General features: G+C 35.9%; 1 long non-coding RNA gene across 32 annotated transcripts in view, besides 1 other annotated feature; it reads right to left on the bottom strand.

Moving 5' to 3' along the window:
- The window catches only part of CDKN2B-AS1 (CDKN2B and CDKN2A antisense cis and trans regulatory RNA 1), a 133,352-nt gene that overhangs the window by 80,925 nt on the left and 35,247 nt on the right, over positions 1-17,180 (bottom strand). For 25 of the 32 annotated variants that reach the window (NR_185859.1, NR_120536.1, NR_185851.1 and 22 more), the window contains one exon: positions 318-467. This is a non-coding gene — a long non-coding RNA (CDKN2B and CDKN2A antisense cis and trans regulatory RNA 1). Of the gene's footprint in view, positions 1-317; positions 468-768; positions 902-14,231; positions 14,545-17,180 lie in introns of all 32 variants that reach the window. The other 7 variants (NR_003529.4, NR_047539.2, NR_185857.1 and 4 more) reach the window with 3 other exon arrangements.
- Positions 17,068-17,147: an enhancer, noted in NCBI's record as "active region_28245". NCBI's record gives its function as "activates an Ori minimal core promoter by ATAC-STARR-seq in GM12878 lymphoblastoid cells {active_cell/tissue: GM12878}" and the evidence as "EXISTENCE:reporter gene assay evidence [ECO:0000049][PMID:35858748]".

Genomic DNA, 17,180 nt, shown 5'->3' with positions numbered 1-17,180 from the left:
GTACAGACAAAATAAAGAGGAGAAAAGAAAAAGGAAGGGAAAGGAGGTGAGAAGAGCAGAGCAATGCTTGAGCAAAGGAGGGAGATGAAAGACTATTTGTTTCATGTCTATTATTGTCATGAGTTTACCTGTATCACATGGATTTAATCTTTATTACTACTCCAGACGTAATTTAGATCACCCTCATTTTCAGAAAAATAAACGAGGGCTCAAAGAAATGAAGTAGGCTACATTACTAAAAAGTGCTAATCACAGGATTTGATCCTAGGTCTCTGTGATTTAAAGAATCTCCATTCTCTTTCACTGTATCTCATTACCTCTCTTTCCAAGAAAATTCTCCTTTGATGTGTGTTTTTCAATTCTTTAAGCACAGATAACATATATCTGGTGGCCAGAAAACAGAAGTCTTTTCTTTGATCTCTGCTGTTGAATCAGAATGAGGCTTATTCTTCTCATCAAAAGGGACACTGGATGTAGGAGAAAAAAGAGGCAAATGTTAATTAATCCTTTGGTTGGACTATGACCTAAACACAGCAGATATTTCCTAATCCCTCTTCATAAACACTTTTATCACCTTGGATAGTGTATGAAGCAGAGAAATACATTGAATATGGTATACCTATACTCAATAAATAGAACACAATAATAGTTCCACCTTTCAATTCTAGTACAGATGCCAATGCCTGATTTAAACATATGCCCCAGATCCTCCTGCCTTTTTTCTCTCTTCAAACAACTATCTATACACAGTCAAGACTCTATGACAACCTTAGCTGTTCCTCGACAGGGCAGGCAGGTAGTCCAGTGGTTAAGTACATGAGCTCAAATTCTGGCTTCATCATTGATGTGGTCTTTGACAGGAAAATTATTTAACTTCTCTCTTTCTGTGGTTTCTCAATATCTGAAATAGTGATTTATTATGATGATTTATTTCATGAAGTTGCTATTAAAATCAAACAAAATGATATGCATAAACTTCCTAGCATAGTGCCTAAGATATAATGGGAGTCACTGCATTTTTCTTGAATTATTGCTAGATATAGTCCTCCACTTTGTGAAGTAGACAAATTACAGTACTTTGAGGTAGCTAGGGAATCATTTGGATGGCTTCCATTTGCTACAGAGAAATTTATTTGGAGGAAAAGAAGCTGAAGGGTTTCTCAAGAGACCTCAACTATTCAGGTTGTCCCAAATTTTCTTCTTATATTCTAAGTCCAGTGCAAACAAAATTTCTGCCTATTTAATGTTTAATATTTAATATAGCAAGAGAATTCATTTTAGGTCCAATTTGTGTAGTATAGTATTGTATTATTATAGGTACATATAAAATATTGTTTAATAAATACACCTTCTGATTTATGAGCATTTTGAAGAGCTTGGACCACAATCTTGAACAATTTACTTTATGGTGGAATTTTATAGTGCTATATCTTCACTTTTATAGCATACTGCTAAGTCTATATGTATAAACATAGTTTTTGGTGAAGAATATGACCCCCAAGGTTAACTTTAGACTTTAAGTGATCTACTTTTTGACCTTCATTGTGGCAAAAAGCATGAGCAGCCTATGCATTCCACCACTTCCTCCATCAGCACCACAGCTGCCACCAGTACAACTACTGTTCCCCCAGCCTGTTTTGCTTCCTAAGCATTGATGTTTAGAAAAAAAAAATTGACTAGTTTAGTGAAGCTAAACTATTTGTACATTTGCTGAGATAATACTATGCATTTCCATTAATAATGAATACTTGTGCCAAAAGCAAACTATAAGGGTTATAGTGATGATGTGCTGGATGAGAAAACCAGAGGAGTAAAATTCTACTTTCACCAGTAATTAGCAGTGTGGAGTTGAGTAAATAAACCTCTCTAAGTCTCAGTTTCTACATCTACTAAATCTAAGCAAATTCAAAACAGTGATTATTTCATTAGATTAGATATTTTGATTAGTCTTAAATGTCTAATATATAATAAACACTCAACAGGTAGTAGCTATTCTATGTTAGAATACAAGCAATTCATTTTTACCTTATCATGATACTCATATTTCCCCTTCTCCTATTTTTCCTTTATCCTCTTAATCCTATTGCTTCTGTTTATAAAATCAAATCCTTTGCATAGGGAGACCACATATTAAAAGAAAATAAATACACACACACACACACACACACACACACACACAAATAAATAATATTTTTCCAAAAGAAAAATACTTCTCCTCAAAGAAAAAAGTTACAAAATAAGTATTGATCATATGAAATGTATACATGGTGGAAATAGATCATTTAGCACTTTATAACTTGAATATAGAGTAGTATTCTTAGGAGAGAGTCAAAAAGGTTGTGTCAGCATCCTAGTGAAACATATTCAGGCACCTTTTGCCTTCAAACTTCTTTCCCAGCCAAGATGACAAATGTGGGTTAAACATTTCCTCTCTTACTGACTCATTTGGCAGAAAAAGAAGTCCAGATACCAAGAGGAATAGAAAAAAAAATGATGGGGATACAGGCACAGGAAGGAGGGGGAGGGAGGAGAAGCAAGTCATATTTCATCAAGCTATGCAAAACCAATGCAGAGGATTAAAAGAAGGATGCATTGACTTTCACAGGTAAAAACCAGGTTCTGGAAATATAACAATTTTTAATGTGAACTTCACACCAAAGAATATTAATAACTAAAGTGTTTTTTACAGAATCACTGTACTATAATTCAGTTATTTACAGGATAATAACAAAAATATATATGAACTTACACAGGAAAGCCAAAGATCAAATCTCCAGAGTATTCACACTCATGTATACTAACAGACCCAAAGTTACACTTTGATTGAACTACTGTGAAAAATAATCAGAGTAATTGTTTGATAACTTAATTATAGGATATTCTAGGATATCCTACTAGGATATTCTACTCTGTTTCTAGGCATTTTACAACCTTTAACTAATTTGTCCCATAATAATTGCTAAAAGTAATTATGTTAATCTGCCACCATCACATCCAAATTTTTGTAAAATAGTCAGGTGTGAAATCTGAGCTGACTAAAAATAAAGTACAAATACTAAAACATCTTGTCGTGTTAGTTATAGCTGACCTAGGCGAAAAAAAGCTTGACTTCCACTGTTCCTTCTTTCCTGCCCTTTTGCCTCATATTTATCTGATACTCATGGCTAAAATTTGTTGTGAGGATAAAATAAAATTAAATGACATACGTAAAGTCCTCAATAAATAATAGCTCTTATTACCATTGCTATGGTTACTATCACTATTTCTGTATTTTCTTTTGCCATTCCTCATGCTTGAATATGAATCTCATGGGTAGAGTTTCCCAAAGCATGATATGTGTAGTACTACTAAAGGCAAGATTTTGGGTGCATACAGACAAAAAAATAATTTAGTAGTAACATATTTATATTAAAGTATATTTAAAAATTTTTAACTAGCACATCAACCTAGTGATGTAACAGCTACTGTTATTACTAAACAAATTTAATTAAGTTGAAAATCATAGTATATTTTCAGAAGCATAATAGTATAGGTGGTATGTGAATAGCATAATCATGAAGATGGCACATAAATAACTAAAGTTTGGAAAACAATGAAATAAAGCGTAAACAACTGCTTTCACAACCTAAGGAGTGGGGAAGTAGAGTCACATTTTGAAAGAAGCAAATCTTTCACCTGCTAGATTATAAATTCCTGAGGACACATAGTCTTCATCTAGGCAAGTATATTAATATGTGCCCAAGAACTGAACACTGGATATATTTGAAGAAAATCAAAACAGCGCATGTGTGTCTGTGTGTGTGTGAATAGATTTTGATGAAGAAAAAAAAATCTTATAAAGGCAGCGAATGTGGAAAAGCCTTAATTTGTAATTCATACCTTATTCAACATCATATGTTTCTTACCGTAGAAAAAAATCTATGAATATGAAACAGCCTTTACCAGTGACTAAAATCCATGGAGAAAAAAACTCTCAAATTACTAATAAAAGTGGAAAAGTTTTAGCCAATTATCCTTCACAACATTGGAAAAATCTAAGCACATAGTAGCACTCAATACATGTTTGCTAAATGAATAATTGATATGGCTATTATAACTACAAATAACCTAAAACTTCAAAACCAAATAAAATACAGACCTGATAGCTCCTTAAAATTTGGGGGATGGAGAGAAAAGACGCTAAAAATAAAAACAGATAGAATTACAATTCCTGCATAAACAGTGTTACAATGACAGCCTGTTAACAGGAATATCATAAAACTCTATTGTGAATAGATTTTCCAAACATGTATACATTTCATAGTCATGAAAACACATCACTCAGTCATACATATTAAGGATATAATTGATTAGAAGGGTTTAAGTATAGCCATTCTTGTGTGATTGTGTGACAAGAGTCAGAATTCAAGAAACTTTTGCAGGAACGCAAGGTTTTTTTGAGAAGTAAACTCAGTGATATCTGTTTTGCTTTCTTTAACATAATAATGCCAAGGTTAATATTATGGACAATTTTTAAAATCTTACTGTTGGGTCTGAGTACTTGTGAAACAACATTCTGAAGACATCCAAAGACAGCATGAATGGAGACCCCCTGGACTGGTGCTTCCATTGGGCCACAGTGGTGGCCATGGGGCAAGGTAGAGTCTGAGTACTTCAGGGAGGGTGGGATTTATTCTTGACTCACAACCACACAGATGAACCAGTCTTCATGCATTCCTTAATTTTATCTGTTGCAATGCATAAATACATTTCTATGCCATCCTCTTTTAAGAGCATTTTTCACTTTCTGCTTTTTAAAGACAGAAATAATAAGGATTTGGATTACTGAGCTCTGTGAATTGTAATATTTTTCAGAATATTATAATTGTTCATAGACCCTTGAAGGCAGAAAATGTCTAGTTCACTATTATATTTCTAGTGTCCAGTGCCTGAAACATGGTTGGTAAATATTTGTTGAATTAGTTAATAAACGTATGAACAAATGTTTTAGCCCCTAGACAGCTGGTAGAAGAAAGGGTTTAGGAAAGAAAATAGGAAAGAGAACTTCTGAAGCCCAAATTCACATTATTTATTTCTTGGCCTCTTGTGCCTACCAGGCCCAGCAGTGAATGAGCTAGCAGTGATCTCACCCGTAGAACCTGCTGGGCTAGTCCTTCAGCAAGTGAGGTGAGTCTGTCAACTCATGTAAAACATAGTAAACTTGGCTAACATATTCCCAGAACAGTGTGACTGCTCTCACCATCCAAATCTGCCCTGGTAAGCTAGATCTAATTATCCACCATGGAATTTGGCCAATTACACAGAGATTATGGTATGTTGAGAAATATGAACTTTAGCTACCCATAAATACAAGAACAGGAATCAAGGCCACTCCCTATTGCTTCTGGTGATTTCTGAAATTTTTTTCAAAACAGACAACAGTTGCTTTGGAGTCTGTGAGTTTCCTTCTCAAGTAGATGAAAACATAAGTCAAAATGCTTTAGATTTTTATGTAAAGTATCTTCAAATATAAAGAAAATAGAGTCTGTAGTGTTTTTTCAGTAAGATTTCAAATGAAGTTCAAAGCCCTAAGAAAGTGTTTTCACCTTTCAGCAGTAGATTCAGAGAGCTTAACTCTTTCCATTTACAACAGAAGGTCACCATGCACATTATCACATGTTTATGCAGTAGAACTAGACAAAGTTTAATGTTCCCTTTTATATGTTTTCCTGGTAAACAAAAATTGTCTCAGGGTTATTATGCATATATGATATTGTCAAGAAACTTTCTGGGTACTGTGGGGCAAAGTCTTCTCCATAAATAAGCTAGGGTTGATTGGAGTTTTCACTTTGAAAAATATCGCACAGGAGGATCTCAACAGCTAGACAATTTCCACAGTACATTTTATTTTTGTTCATTGTTGTTATACACAACTCTTCAGGATCACACCTACTGAAGAGGTTCAGGTACATCTGTAGCATTTGCTCTTCTCATCACTTCAGATTGTCTATTTTTCTCTCTTTTCTTTTTCTCCCAATATACTTTTCTGTTGCATTAAAGGACACCACTTTCCAACACATTTTCTCTTTATCCCAGTTTTATCTCTTACACCATCAACATTTCTGGTACATTTGTTTTCTGTTTTCATGGAAATTTTTACTTTTGCAGGCAGTTATTTAGTGAGAGAGGGAGTGGTACAAAACCACAGAAGTGACTAAGAAAAGTCAGAGAAATCAAATCTGATTCTACACGCAGTGAGCAATAGTATAATGAATGCTGGGTTGAGATGAGAAAGCCTAGAGATACATTCTGGCACCAAAGCTTACTGTGTGGCCTGGGAAGTCAGGGAACCTCTTGAGTATTTCAGTTTCCACATTTATATAATTAAGATGCTAACACTGACTGACAGAAATGTCAGTAAGATGAAATCAGACTGCATGGGAGTTTTATGTTACATTAATTTGTAAATTGTGTATCTCTGTATTCATGTGAGTGTGGCTATCATGATGTTAGACATCCAGCTACAAAGGAGGCATTCGTGCACACACACAGTCTCCAATCTTCTGTTTACCTTCTGTTTACTCCTGCCTAAACTGGACTAACTCAGGAATATCAAGGAGTTCATTCCTCAGAAGATGGAATCCATACACATGAACAATCTGACCATCTCTACTGTACCTTGCACAGCTGCTTGGCTTCATAAAACTTCTCCCAGTCTGCTTCACTGACAGTCTGATGTTGGTTATGATCTCCTTCTCAACCCACCACCCACATCTCCACTATAGTCTGGTTGTTTGTGAACATCTGGATTGAACTAGAATTGAGTAGAGTAATGATGTTTTGGAGTCAAATTGATTTGTGTTCAAACACTGGCACTATAATGAAATAGCCATGACACCTTGAACTTGTCATTTAATTTCTATGAGGCTCCATTTCCTAATTTGTATATAGATGGCACTAATATCTACACCATAGAATGCTGATAAGGAATAAGCAAGATAATACATGATCACAGGCTCTTGCCTTGATCAACAGTTAGAGTGGTGTGTTAGTCGGCTAGGACTGCTGTACAAAGTGCCACAAACTGAGTGGCCTAAAAAGAGAAATTGTCTCACAGCTCTGGAAGCTAGACGTCTGAGATTAGCAGTTGGCTGGGCCATCCTCTCCCTCAAGGCTACAGGGAAGAATTTATTCAAGGTCTCTTCCGTAGCTTCTGTTAATTTTGTGACTTTTAGCAGCATAACTCCAGTCTTCAGAGAGCATTCTCCCAGTGCATGTCTCTATGGCCAAAATTCTCCTTTTTATAAGGACACCATGATTAGGAGCTTCTCCTATGTCAGTAAGATCGCATCTTAACTAATTATATTTGCAATGACCCTGTTTCCAAATAAGGTCACATTCTGAAGCACTAGGAGTTAGGACTTCAGCATAGTCATTTCGGGGGAACACAATTCAGCCCATAACAAATGGAATGAAAAAATTTTGAGGGCCTGAAGATTTGGCAAAGTTTATTTAGGAGCTGAGAGGTCAGAAAAACCGTGCAGTGTGCCATAGCTAATTGCTCAGCCACTTCTTACTATAATCTGTTTTTTTAAGAGACTATATAAATTATCCAAATAACTACTATAAGCTGCCATTCTACTTTGATTGTGGTAATCTGTATTTTCTCATTCCAAAAATGGAGAAAATAATGCTGGCCTCTACCTCCTAGAAGCTTACAGTCAAAATATTACAACAACAATGCTATCCACACAGATGTTAAAACACAGAGTAAACAGATGTTGCGCAATTAAGACACAGCTAAAACAGGGGCCGAGTATTTATATATGGAGAATTGACTCTTGTTGCCACAGGAAGGTGAAGGACAAGAGCGAAAAGAAAAATTATACTGGTTTCATAAAGACAGGACTACTGAGGGATTTGAGGTGGTCCTTGCAGGGAGAGAACATGGGAAGCTCACAGGAAATTAAACCAGTAAGTTGACATGGCTTCCCCTGACTGAGATATTAATGATTCTAGTTCCACCGAGCAACAAAGTCTAAAGATTTGGATCCCTTTTTAATGATTCTTGGCCTTAAAAAATTAGATGTCATTTTAAGTTTTTGTCATTTTGAATATTTTTAAGGTACTGTTCCCTAGAGTTATTTAGTAAAGAAATTTCTAAATCCCTAAACCCATTTTCTAAAATTCTAAACACATTAAGAATAAATATTGACAAGGAAAAAATTTCCATGTCCTAACTGGAAATTTTCTCAGATAAATGAAAGTTAGGATCTCTTCCAGAGTAAGTTCCACTCCAATATAATCAAGTCAACAATGAAATTACTATTTCTAGAATACTTACTATGCATACACTATACCAGATATTGCTTGTAGTACAAAAGGAGATAAGCAGTTGTTTTTTAACTTTAAAAATAATTGAAACAAAGGAATACATATGCATACTTTGTCTTTACCAAATAATGGATTTTTTTCTAGACATTATCTCCGTCATTAAAAATGCATCAGCATTGTTGGTCTCTATCATTAACCTATTATCCTGTGGGTTCCTTGACAGAAGAAATTACATCTTGTCCATATCCAACTTGTTTCTTAAACATTAAAAAAGAAAAAGTAAAAGGACTGAATTAGTACAAAAGAATAAAGTTTTATTATAGTGCAAGAGCTCAAAGTAATATCCATCCCAAGTATGGATATTTAGAGTTGTTCAGATATTTGTGCTATACTCTCTTAAAAGTAAAAGATTTTTAAAAGAGGCAGCTGAGCAATTAAAGTAAGATGCACTTTGTGGTTTCTTTGAGCTCATAAATCTTGAACAGATTTATCAAATCTGCGCTGGCAAAATAGTTAAGCTTGGTAGATAATTATTTTTGAATAATTAAACGAGTAAATAATTAAATAAATTAATGAATTATACTAAAGAAATTGGAGAAAAGTTGAATTTCACCTCTCTCCTCTAGGTGGCAAACTCATACCTCCTACAGTGTTTCACATTTCCTGTCTCCTAGAACTGACATATGAAAATTGCACTGAAAAAAAAATCCATAATTTTATGTCTGTTGTAGTGTAGAAGTAAGCAAATATAAAAGTATTTTCTCCCAAAAGTGCTTCCTTCAGTTTTGTATCTTTAAGCTTCTTGTCAAGAACATTGTTTATAGCAAGTCATTATGAAATATGATTGTGTAAGTACTATAAAGAAATAAAATTGTGCAAGAGGCTTTTCAAAGCACTTGTGCAAGACTGCTTTGAGTACCTTCAGATTTTCATTGCCTACTCTTAGGAAAACATTATTTTCCCTAACTTTTATTATTATTCTCTAGGATATTCATTTTCCCCTAAATATGAAAACTAAGCCCCATATATATTTTTTTCCAGATTCACTGTGACCATAACAGATAAAATTGAATAAAAGCTTAATGTGTTATCCTCTAAATGGAATATAGAACCAAATGAGGTAAATTAATCCAAATACCTTGCTTTAATTTCCATTCACACCAAAATATGAGTTCCCTGAATGAATTAAATTATGCCCCCCAATCTCCACTACCCTTTGTGGTGACATAGTCTGTATTTTCTTATACAGGAAATATGACTGGAAAATGTCTTGAAGTGTCATGAAAGCTGAAGAGGAAAGTTAAAATTAATCTAAGAGCACACCAAACAGGAACAGCAAGTATTGAAGATGCCTGCCCTGTTTCCAGAAGTAAGAGGAGATAAGTAAAAAGAACAATGACATGTTATAGCCCAAGAGCTAAAATTAAATGCATATAAACAATTCTTGTGGAAACTAGAAGCCGATGTAGATTACGCAAACCAGGTAGAGTCTTGCCAGAACATGCCAGGAGAGAGTCACCCAGCACTGAGACATGGCTAGAGATAGAAGTGAGGTTAACACTGGGAAACTACAGAGGATTCTGCACTTGGATGGCAGCTGTTAAATTCTACATTAATACTGAATAGTATGTACTTTAAACCCCATTTTTCTTCTTTATCCCACTGAAGAAGCTGAAAGTTAGTTGTTCAGATACAGGAATCCAAATGAGAATTGCTAGTTTATGTATGATTTCTCTAACACACATTTCTTGAACAACCACTTTAGGCCAGGCCCCATAATAGAACCCAGAGTAGAATCCTTGAATAACACAAATATGAATAAGGCATGCATGATCCTTGCCATCAGCGTAGTGACGAAACCAGACATGTACACAAACAATTATATGAGGGTGGTAAAGGGAGAAGGGGAGAAAGAATGCACAGAGCCAAACTGGTACATTGATGTCAGGGTGTGGAAGAGCCACCTTTCAATCCCATTCTACATCTGGATTAATGGCAACTTGTTTGACCAGAATCTAACCACAGTATTAGTTTTGGTGGATTTTGAGTTACACCTACACAGCTGGGCCTCTAATGCAGCTAAGTAATGGAAAGAGGCACAAAGTAGATATGATCATCTATAATACCTCTCCAAAGGCATTTTAGCCTTGTTTCAAGAGATTGTTCTCAAAGGTTTGCATGAAGGCAGAGGAGTTACACAAGAAAACACCACCTGTTAAATGGACAGATGACTCCTAACTTTGACATTAGAAGGCAAACATAAATCTTTTTAAGTAAACTAATAAGCTAAAAATATATTAATAGGGGAATACAAATAAATTATAGAATATCTCACAATTTTAAAAGAATGAGGTAGCTCTAGCATGGAAGTATAAAAATATGCATAGAAGTGAAAAAAGCAGGACGAAACAATTTAGGCTGTAGACTAACTTTGTTATTTGATGCAACTTACACACTGTTGTTATACCTCTAGAATTAAAATGACAATTTTTTAAATAATTTTGGGGGGCCTAGATTTGCTATTTAACCTATCAAAGAATTGTGTCTTACAGTATTATTCAAATGTAGTGTGTAAAGACTTATACTATTGGTCCTAAGCACTACTGGTTGTTTTAGGCTTTTTCTCTTTCTCTGTAGCTACTTTGCAAGCATTATCTTCATGTTTACAGCATTCAATCTAATTAGCCCATGCACAATATAATTTCAATTCAAAAGGAGAAAAGTGAATTTTGACCCACGTTTTATTATTAAATGGATTCCCTGCCCTGTATCAGCCTAAGGTAGATCTGTTCTCATTTGTCTTTATTCTTCATGATAAGAAAGGAGAGAGAAAAAGAAAGGTGAAAAACGGGGCTCAAGAAAATAGAGGAGGGAAGGACTGATCATCCCTTCCAATAGTGGAAACTGAAAGTTGTCTGTTAACTGTAGCCCTTACATCTGTGGCTAAGCCAACACCTCAGGCCCTGTCCTGTGGCATCTCCTTCACCGTGATTGATGCAATTCTCCTTTAGTCAAAAAATTCTCTTTAATTCAGTACATGTCTACAATGACTCAGGATCCTCAGATGTGATCATGGCCTCTTCTCCTTCTAGAAAAATCTATAATGATAAAAAGCCACAGAGTCTGACTTCTATCAGGCAAACTTATCTCTGGAAACACCACAGAAAGAAAGCCAGTGTGGCATGCACAGGATGTGGCATAAACAGCCCAATAGCTCAAACCAGCCAGTGACCTTTCACAAAGAAGACAAAGGCAAATACTCGGAGAAGCAGCCAATATATTGGTGCCAACATTCCACAAGTAGAACAGATGCATCCAACCCCTCGTGGAACCACAGACCAAGCTAGGCACACCTAGACTTTCCCACTCACAGGGCCACCAGGGCTAGTCTGAATTCAAATCAATAGAAGCTTACTGCCATGGGTATAGGTGAGACCCATGTTTGACGCCAATCAACATATTCACGATTACCCAACAAGGAAAATAAACAAACACATGCACCCATATCTATGTAATTCTTTTCAAAAGAACTTGAAGTAAAGCAATAAGAACTGAGAGAGAATGGTATTAGTTCTATCTTAGTTCTTGTTGCTCTACTTCAAGTTCTTTTCAAAAGAATTAGTTTCATAATTATGAAATAAGCACCAACAAGAACTAGAATTTCAGTGATGAACCAGCAAAACAGTTCCAGCTGCCCTCAGCAGCACTTATTTTCTCTAAATACCTTAGTTAGACAACAACCTAAAAAAAAAAGATAAATGTTTAAAATAATACAGTAATGATAAGAATCATTATAGTCACCATTTATTAGGCATCTATTAGATGCCAGATATTTTGCTATATTTAGCTACATAGCTTACTCCTCATAGTAGTCTTGTGAAGCAGGTTTTATTATCCCCATTTTACATATGAGAAAACTACATCAAATCTAAATTAAATAACTTTCCTAAAACTACCCAACTAGAATGGCACAGCCATAATCAAACTCTAGTTGAACTCCTTTCACTATACCACAGGTTAGCAAATTATGACCCTTATGTCAAATCAGTCTTGCTGCCTAATTTTATTTTTAAAAGTCTTATTGGAACATAGATACTCCTTCATTCATGTATTGTCTATGGGTGAGTCTTTATTACAACAGCAGAGATGAGTAGTTGTGACAGAAACTCGATGGCCCTCAAAAGCGAAACAAGCTACTATCAGGACCTCTATAGAAAAAGTTTGCCAACCTCTACACTGTAGTATGCCTTAAGGATTTTTAGAAGATTGAGTATGATAAACACTTTCAAAGAATGATGAAATTCTGAGAAATGGGAGTTAATTGTCATCAATTTCTTTGTTAACAGCTACACTAAGACATTCTGTCCAAAACCAAGTTGGAGAAAGAATAGTTGCGTTTCAGAATACAAGAATTTGAATTTTATTGACTACTTCATCTCTTCCCTAATCCTAACTCGGGCTTCTTTTCACCTCAATTTCTCCCAGGATATCTCACCAAAGTAAACACCTAAGGCAGAAAGTCAGGGGGGAACACAATGAAAAAGTAGTGCTATAGCTTCACAAAACTTTTAATTCCATTTTCATTTCTACCACCTATCATAGAGGCACCCCAAAAAAGAGACATGCCAAACTTCAGGGTTTAATTAGTTTAGGCAAGTCTGGGTGGGTGAATTTATAGACCAGAATAATAGAATTTTAATATGGAAAGCACATAAAGTAATAACCAATTGAGAACCAGGTAACAACAAAGAAGAACCTTCTCTTATCTATCCCACCACATGTTCAACATGATCTGGCCTAAGGCCACATTGTATCTGTATCTATTCACCATCTTTCATATATTCATTAACTTCATGTCTTTTATCGAAGTTACACCTTTGATTTTTTAAAAAGCATGGTTTGGGGAATCAAGCATACTTGGGTTCAAACCCTGCTGTAGCCACCTACTACTTGTATAATCTTAAGCAAGTCAGTAAACCACTTTAAGCCTCAATGCAATATAAATGTAGTTGGTTTTTCATTGAGTATAAAGAAACTGGAATGAGATAGCACATTCAGTGCCAACAAAGCATCTGGCACGTAGTAGGCACTCTGTCAATAGATGGCAAACACCAGCGTTATTCTTACAAAACAGGTGAAACTGCATCACCTCAGTCTCTTCTTGGACCAACATCAGCAGGTGTTAATTGTTGGAGCAAGTGGCATCTCACTACTCAAACTATGGATGATAATCTGCTGGCTGCATACTGTATAGGAAAAGCATTTTTACCTGAGAAAGATAACTTTCAACTTTCTAATCTAGCCTTGTACCAGTTGCAAATAATTGTTATTATATGTTATGCTTTATAGACAGCCTTGTTTTTAATTATGAGGTTTTTATTGGAGTGGCAGGTTTCAGGGTAAGTCTGCCATCTGACTTGCCAGTACTTGTTAAAAGTTTTTATAGTGTGACTCATTTACATATGCATGTGTATGTTTAGGTGCTATTATTAAATTTTGCTGGCATATAGTGAGGAAATTGTGATTCAAATTCGTCCGTATGTACTCCTCCCCCACCATCTGCTCTGCCCCTCCATTTACCAGAAGGCTAGCTTTAGCTACTTGTGCATGTAAAACAGAAGCAAGCAACACTGTGAAAGTGAAAATCTTTTAGGTAGTGTAGTGCAGCGGTGGTCCCCAACCTTTTTGGCACCAGGGACTGGTTTCGTAAAAGTCAATTCTTCTGCAGGTGGGTGGGGGGTGCTCTGGGTTGAAACTGTTCCACGTCAGATCATCAGCCATTAGTTAGATTCTCATAAAGGGCGCACAACCTAGATCCCTTGCGTGTGCAGTTCACAATAGGGTTTGTGCTCCTATGAGAATCTAATGCCACTGCTGATCTGACAGGAGGCGGAACTCAAGCAGTAATGCTTGCTCACCTGCTGCCCACCTTCTGCTGTGCAGCCTGGTTTCTAACAAGCCACAGACCAGTACAAAATTAAAAACACTGGGCATGAGGAAATAATATTCACGCTTTAAATTGTCTTTTCTATTCACTACACTAGGGCCACAGTCTGTGGCCTAGGGGTTGGGGACCCCTGGTGTAGTGAAGAGAAAAGACAATTTAAAGCATGAATATTATTTCCACATGCCCAGTGTTTTTAATTTTGTAGAGGGAATCCCTGCAGGAAAAATCATCTTCACATCCAAGACAGCAAGTGGTATTGATGACAGATCAGTGCTATAAATTGCCTGTGGAAGAAAAGAGAGAGAGAGAAAATGAGTGTACAAACAAAGCTCTTTAAAAGAATAAAGACACTCCCATAAATAAAAAAATGAAAACTCAAAATGGCATGGACAACAATGAATAAACTCCACAGTGATTCAATAATACCAACAGCCAAGCCTTTGTTGAGCACCTTCTACAGATGCACCTCAGGCATGAAGCCCTAGGCAGCACACTGTGGATACAAAGTATAAATAATGACATTTTGTAGATACAGACATTGCTTTTGTGTTTCCAACTGCTCTATTAATTTAAAGTACGGAAAAAGTAGAAGGAATGAAGGGAAGGAAGGGAGGAAAAGGGGAAAGGAGAAAAATGGGAGAATAAGAGAAAAAGAAAAGGTGTCCAGTGTTAGAAGTCACAATTCTATCAGAACTCCAAGTGCCTGGGGCTCACAACCACATGATTCTACCTCCACTGAATCACTTCTGGAATGACTTTTGTAGACTTATGTATAGCTGAATCACAAATGACCATTCTCCCCCCAAAAAAAACCTCATAGCTTAAAACACCCATGAATTCTGAGAATAGCTCTGCTTCACAATCTCTCACAAGACTGCAATCAAGGTGTCTACCAAGGCTGGGGGCCTCATCTGAAATCTCCCTTAGGGAAAGATTTGCTTCCCAGCTAACACAACTGGCTGTTGGTAAGATTCATTTCTTTGAGGGATATTGAACTGAGGGCATCTGTTTACTGCTTGCTGTTGGCCAGAGGCTGCCCTCAGGTCCCTGCCATGTGAGCCTCTCTTCTGTGGCAGCCTGCTTCATCAAAACCAGCAAGAGAGGAAGTACTCTGGCAAGACGGAGGTCGCAATCTTCTGTAAACTTATCAGAGAGGTGACCTCTACTCTACTACCATATTCTATTGGTATGAGCAAGATACTCAAGTGGAGGGGATTACACAAAGCTGTGAATAGTAGAAGGCTGAGAAAACCAAAAGCTATCTTAGGCTAACCTACCGCAACTTGGTGATCTGCTCTCAGTTTCTTTGTTTCATCTTTTATTTTTTTTCATATTGACCTATATTCAAATTACCACAAAATAATCAGGTCTAAATACAAAAAATTTTACTTTTAGCTCTAAGTTTCCTTAAAGAATTTGGTATCAATTACAGTAAGAGCACTGGGTTGATCTAAAGAAAGCATGAGTATCAGGACCAATTCTAGCAATTTACTATGAGATTTTATCCATGAACCTGCTTTTCTCATCTTTAAAATGGGTATAGTTATGCCTTCTCTATTCACCTCATATAACTATTATAAAAACTAATGAGAATAATGTATGTTAGTGTTTTCCAAAGTGCAGTAACAAGCACTGGAGGTACTTGAGATGATTATGGGTGGTATATGGACTGTAGGTGTAACTCTTTTAAGGTATTTGTTTTAGAGTGTATTAGAAAAACAAAACTTGCACAACAAACCCATGATTTTACAAATTATGTGCTTAAGTGAGACTTCAGTAAAGTTTTTAAAAGGGTGAGTGAATTTGAAGAAAAATGTTAAGAAAATAACATAATAGGTGGTCTGAGAATGTGGCATGCATTGTGAAGGTGATATATACAAATGATTGCATAAAAAATAAAATGCCCCACAAATACATTGAATTCTGTTTATTAATTAACGTTCCATGATGCCGGTTTAAGAAGCTAAACAAACATATTCATTGTTACCATAAGAGCAAACCTAACTACACCTGGTGAAAGAAATGACCCCTTGAAAATTCAATTCTAAATTTTTTTGTCCACAAGAATCCATCCCCTGTTATCAATAAGACAGTTATATCTTTTGTTCCCTGATGTGTTTTTCTTTTCCTAGCAATGTATTAATGATAAGTTCCATTTATTAGGGGATCACTGTATGCTAGAATGTACATATACTATTTCAATTAATACTTACCTCATAAGAAAAATAGTATTATTATATCCTGTAATGAGGAAACTAAATCTTAAAGAGGACTAAAGTCACTTACCTAGTAAGTTGCAGAGCTAGACCTGAATTTACATTCAGGTCTACTTAATTGAAGCCTGAGTAAAATCTACTCTGCCAGTAGTTTTAAAGGGCTGAACTTCCATTCACTATGTCCATACCTCATCTTTTTCCACCTCTTACAATTTTACATTGTGTCACTGTAACATTTTTTCTCTGGCATATGGGAAAATTTTTCAACACCAGGGCAAACAAAGAGAATGAGTCATTTATTGTCAAATACCCAGATAGGAAGTACAAACTAAATAGAGTAAAAGAAGCAATCTCTTCCTAGCCCAAACTCTTACACTGACCCCCTAAGGGCAAAGGAACACAGAAAAGATGAAGTTCAGACACTTCCTAAGGTTCCTGGTATTGGCTACATTTTTCACTACTTCCCCTGTATAACCTCCACGCCAATGATAATTCTACAAGCAAAAAGCTGAAATCTACATTACAAAAGAGGAAGTGTATTGTCTATGTACTCTAAACATGTGGTGAGCTGTTTAACTGCAGAGAAGTCTCTCCTCAAGAAAAGACAACATCTCCCTTCTGTTTTTCAGTATGACATGTGAGTTTTGAGTAAAACCAGATATTTCAAGTTATAAACGTAACTGAAATGTGCTTCTCTTCAAGAA

Source organism: Homo sapiens, chromosome 9 (assembly GCF_000001405.40).
Source record: "Homo sapiens chromosome 9, GRCh38.p14 Primary Assembly".
Classification (NCBI taxonomy): Eukaryota; Metazoa; Chordata; class Mammalia; order Primates; family Hominidae; genus Homo; species Homo sapiens.
Note: the sequence above shows the minus strand (reverse complement) of the source record. Positions and strands in the feature narration are given on the sequence as shown.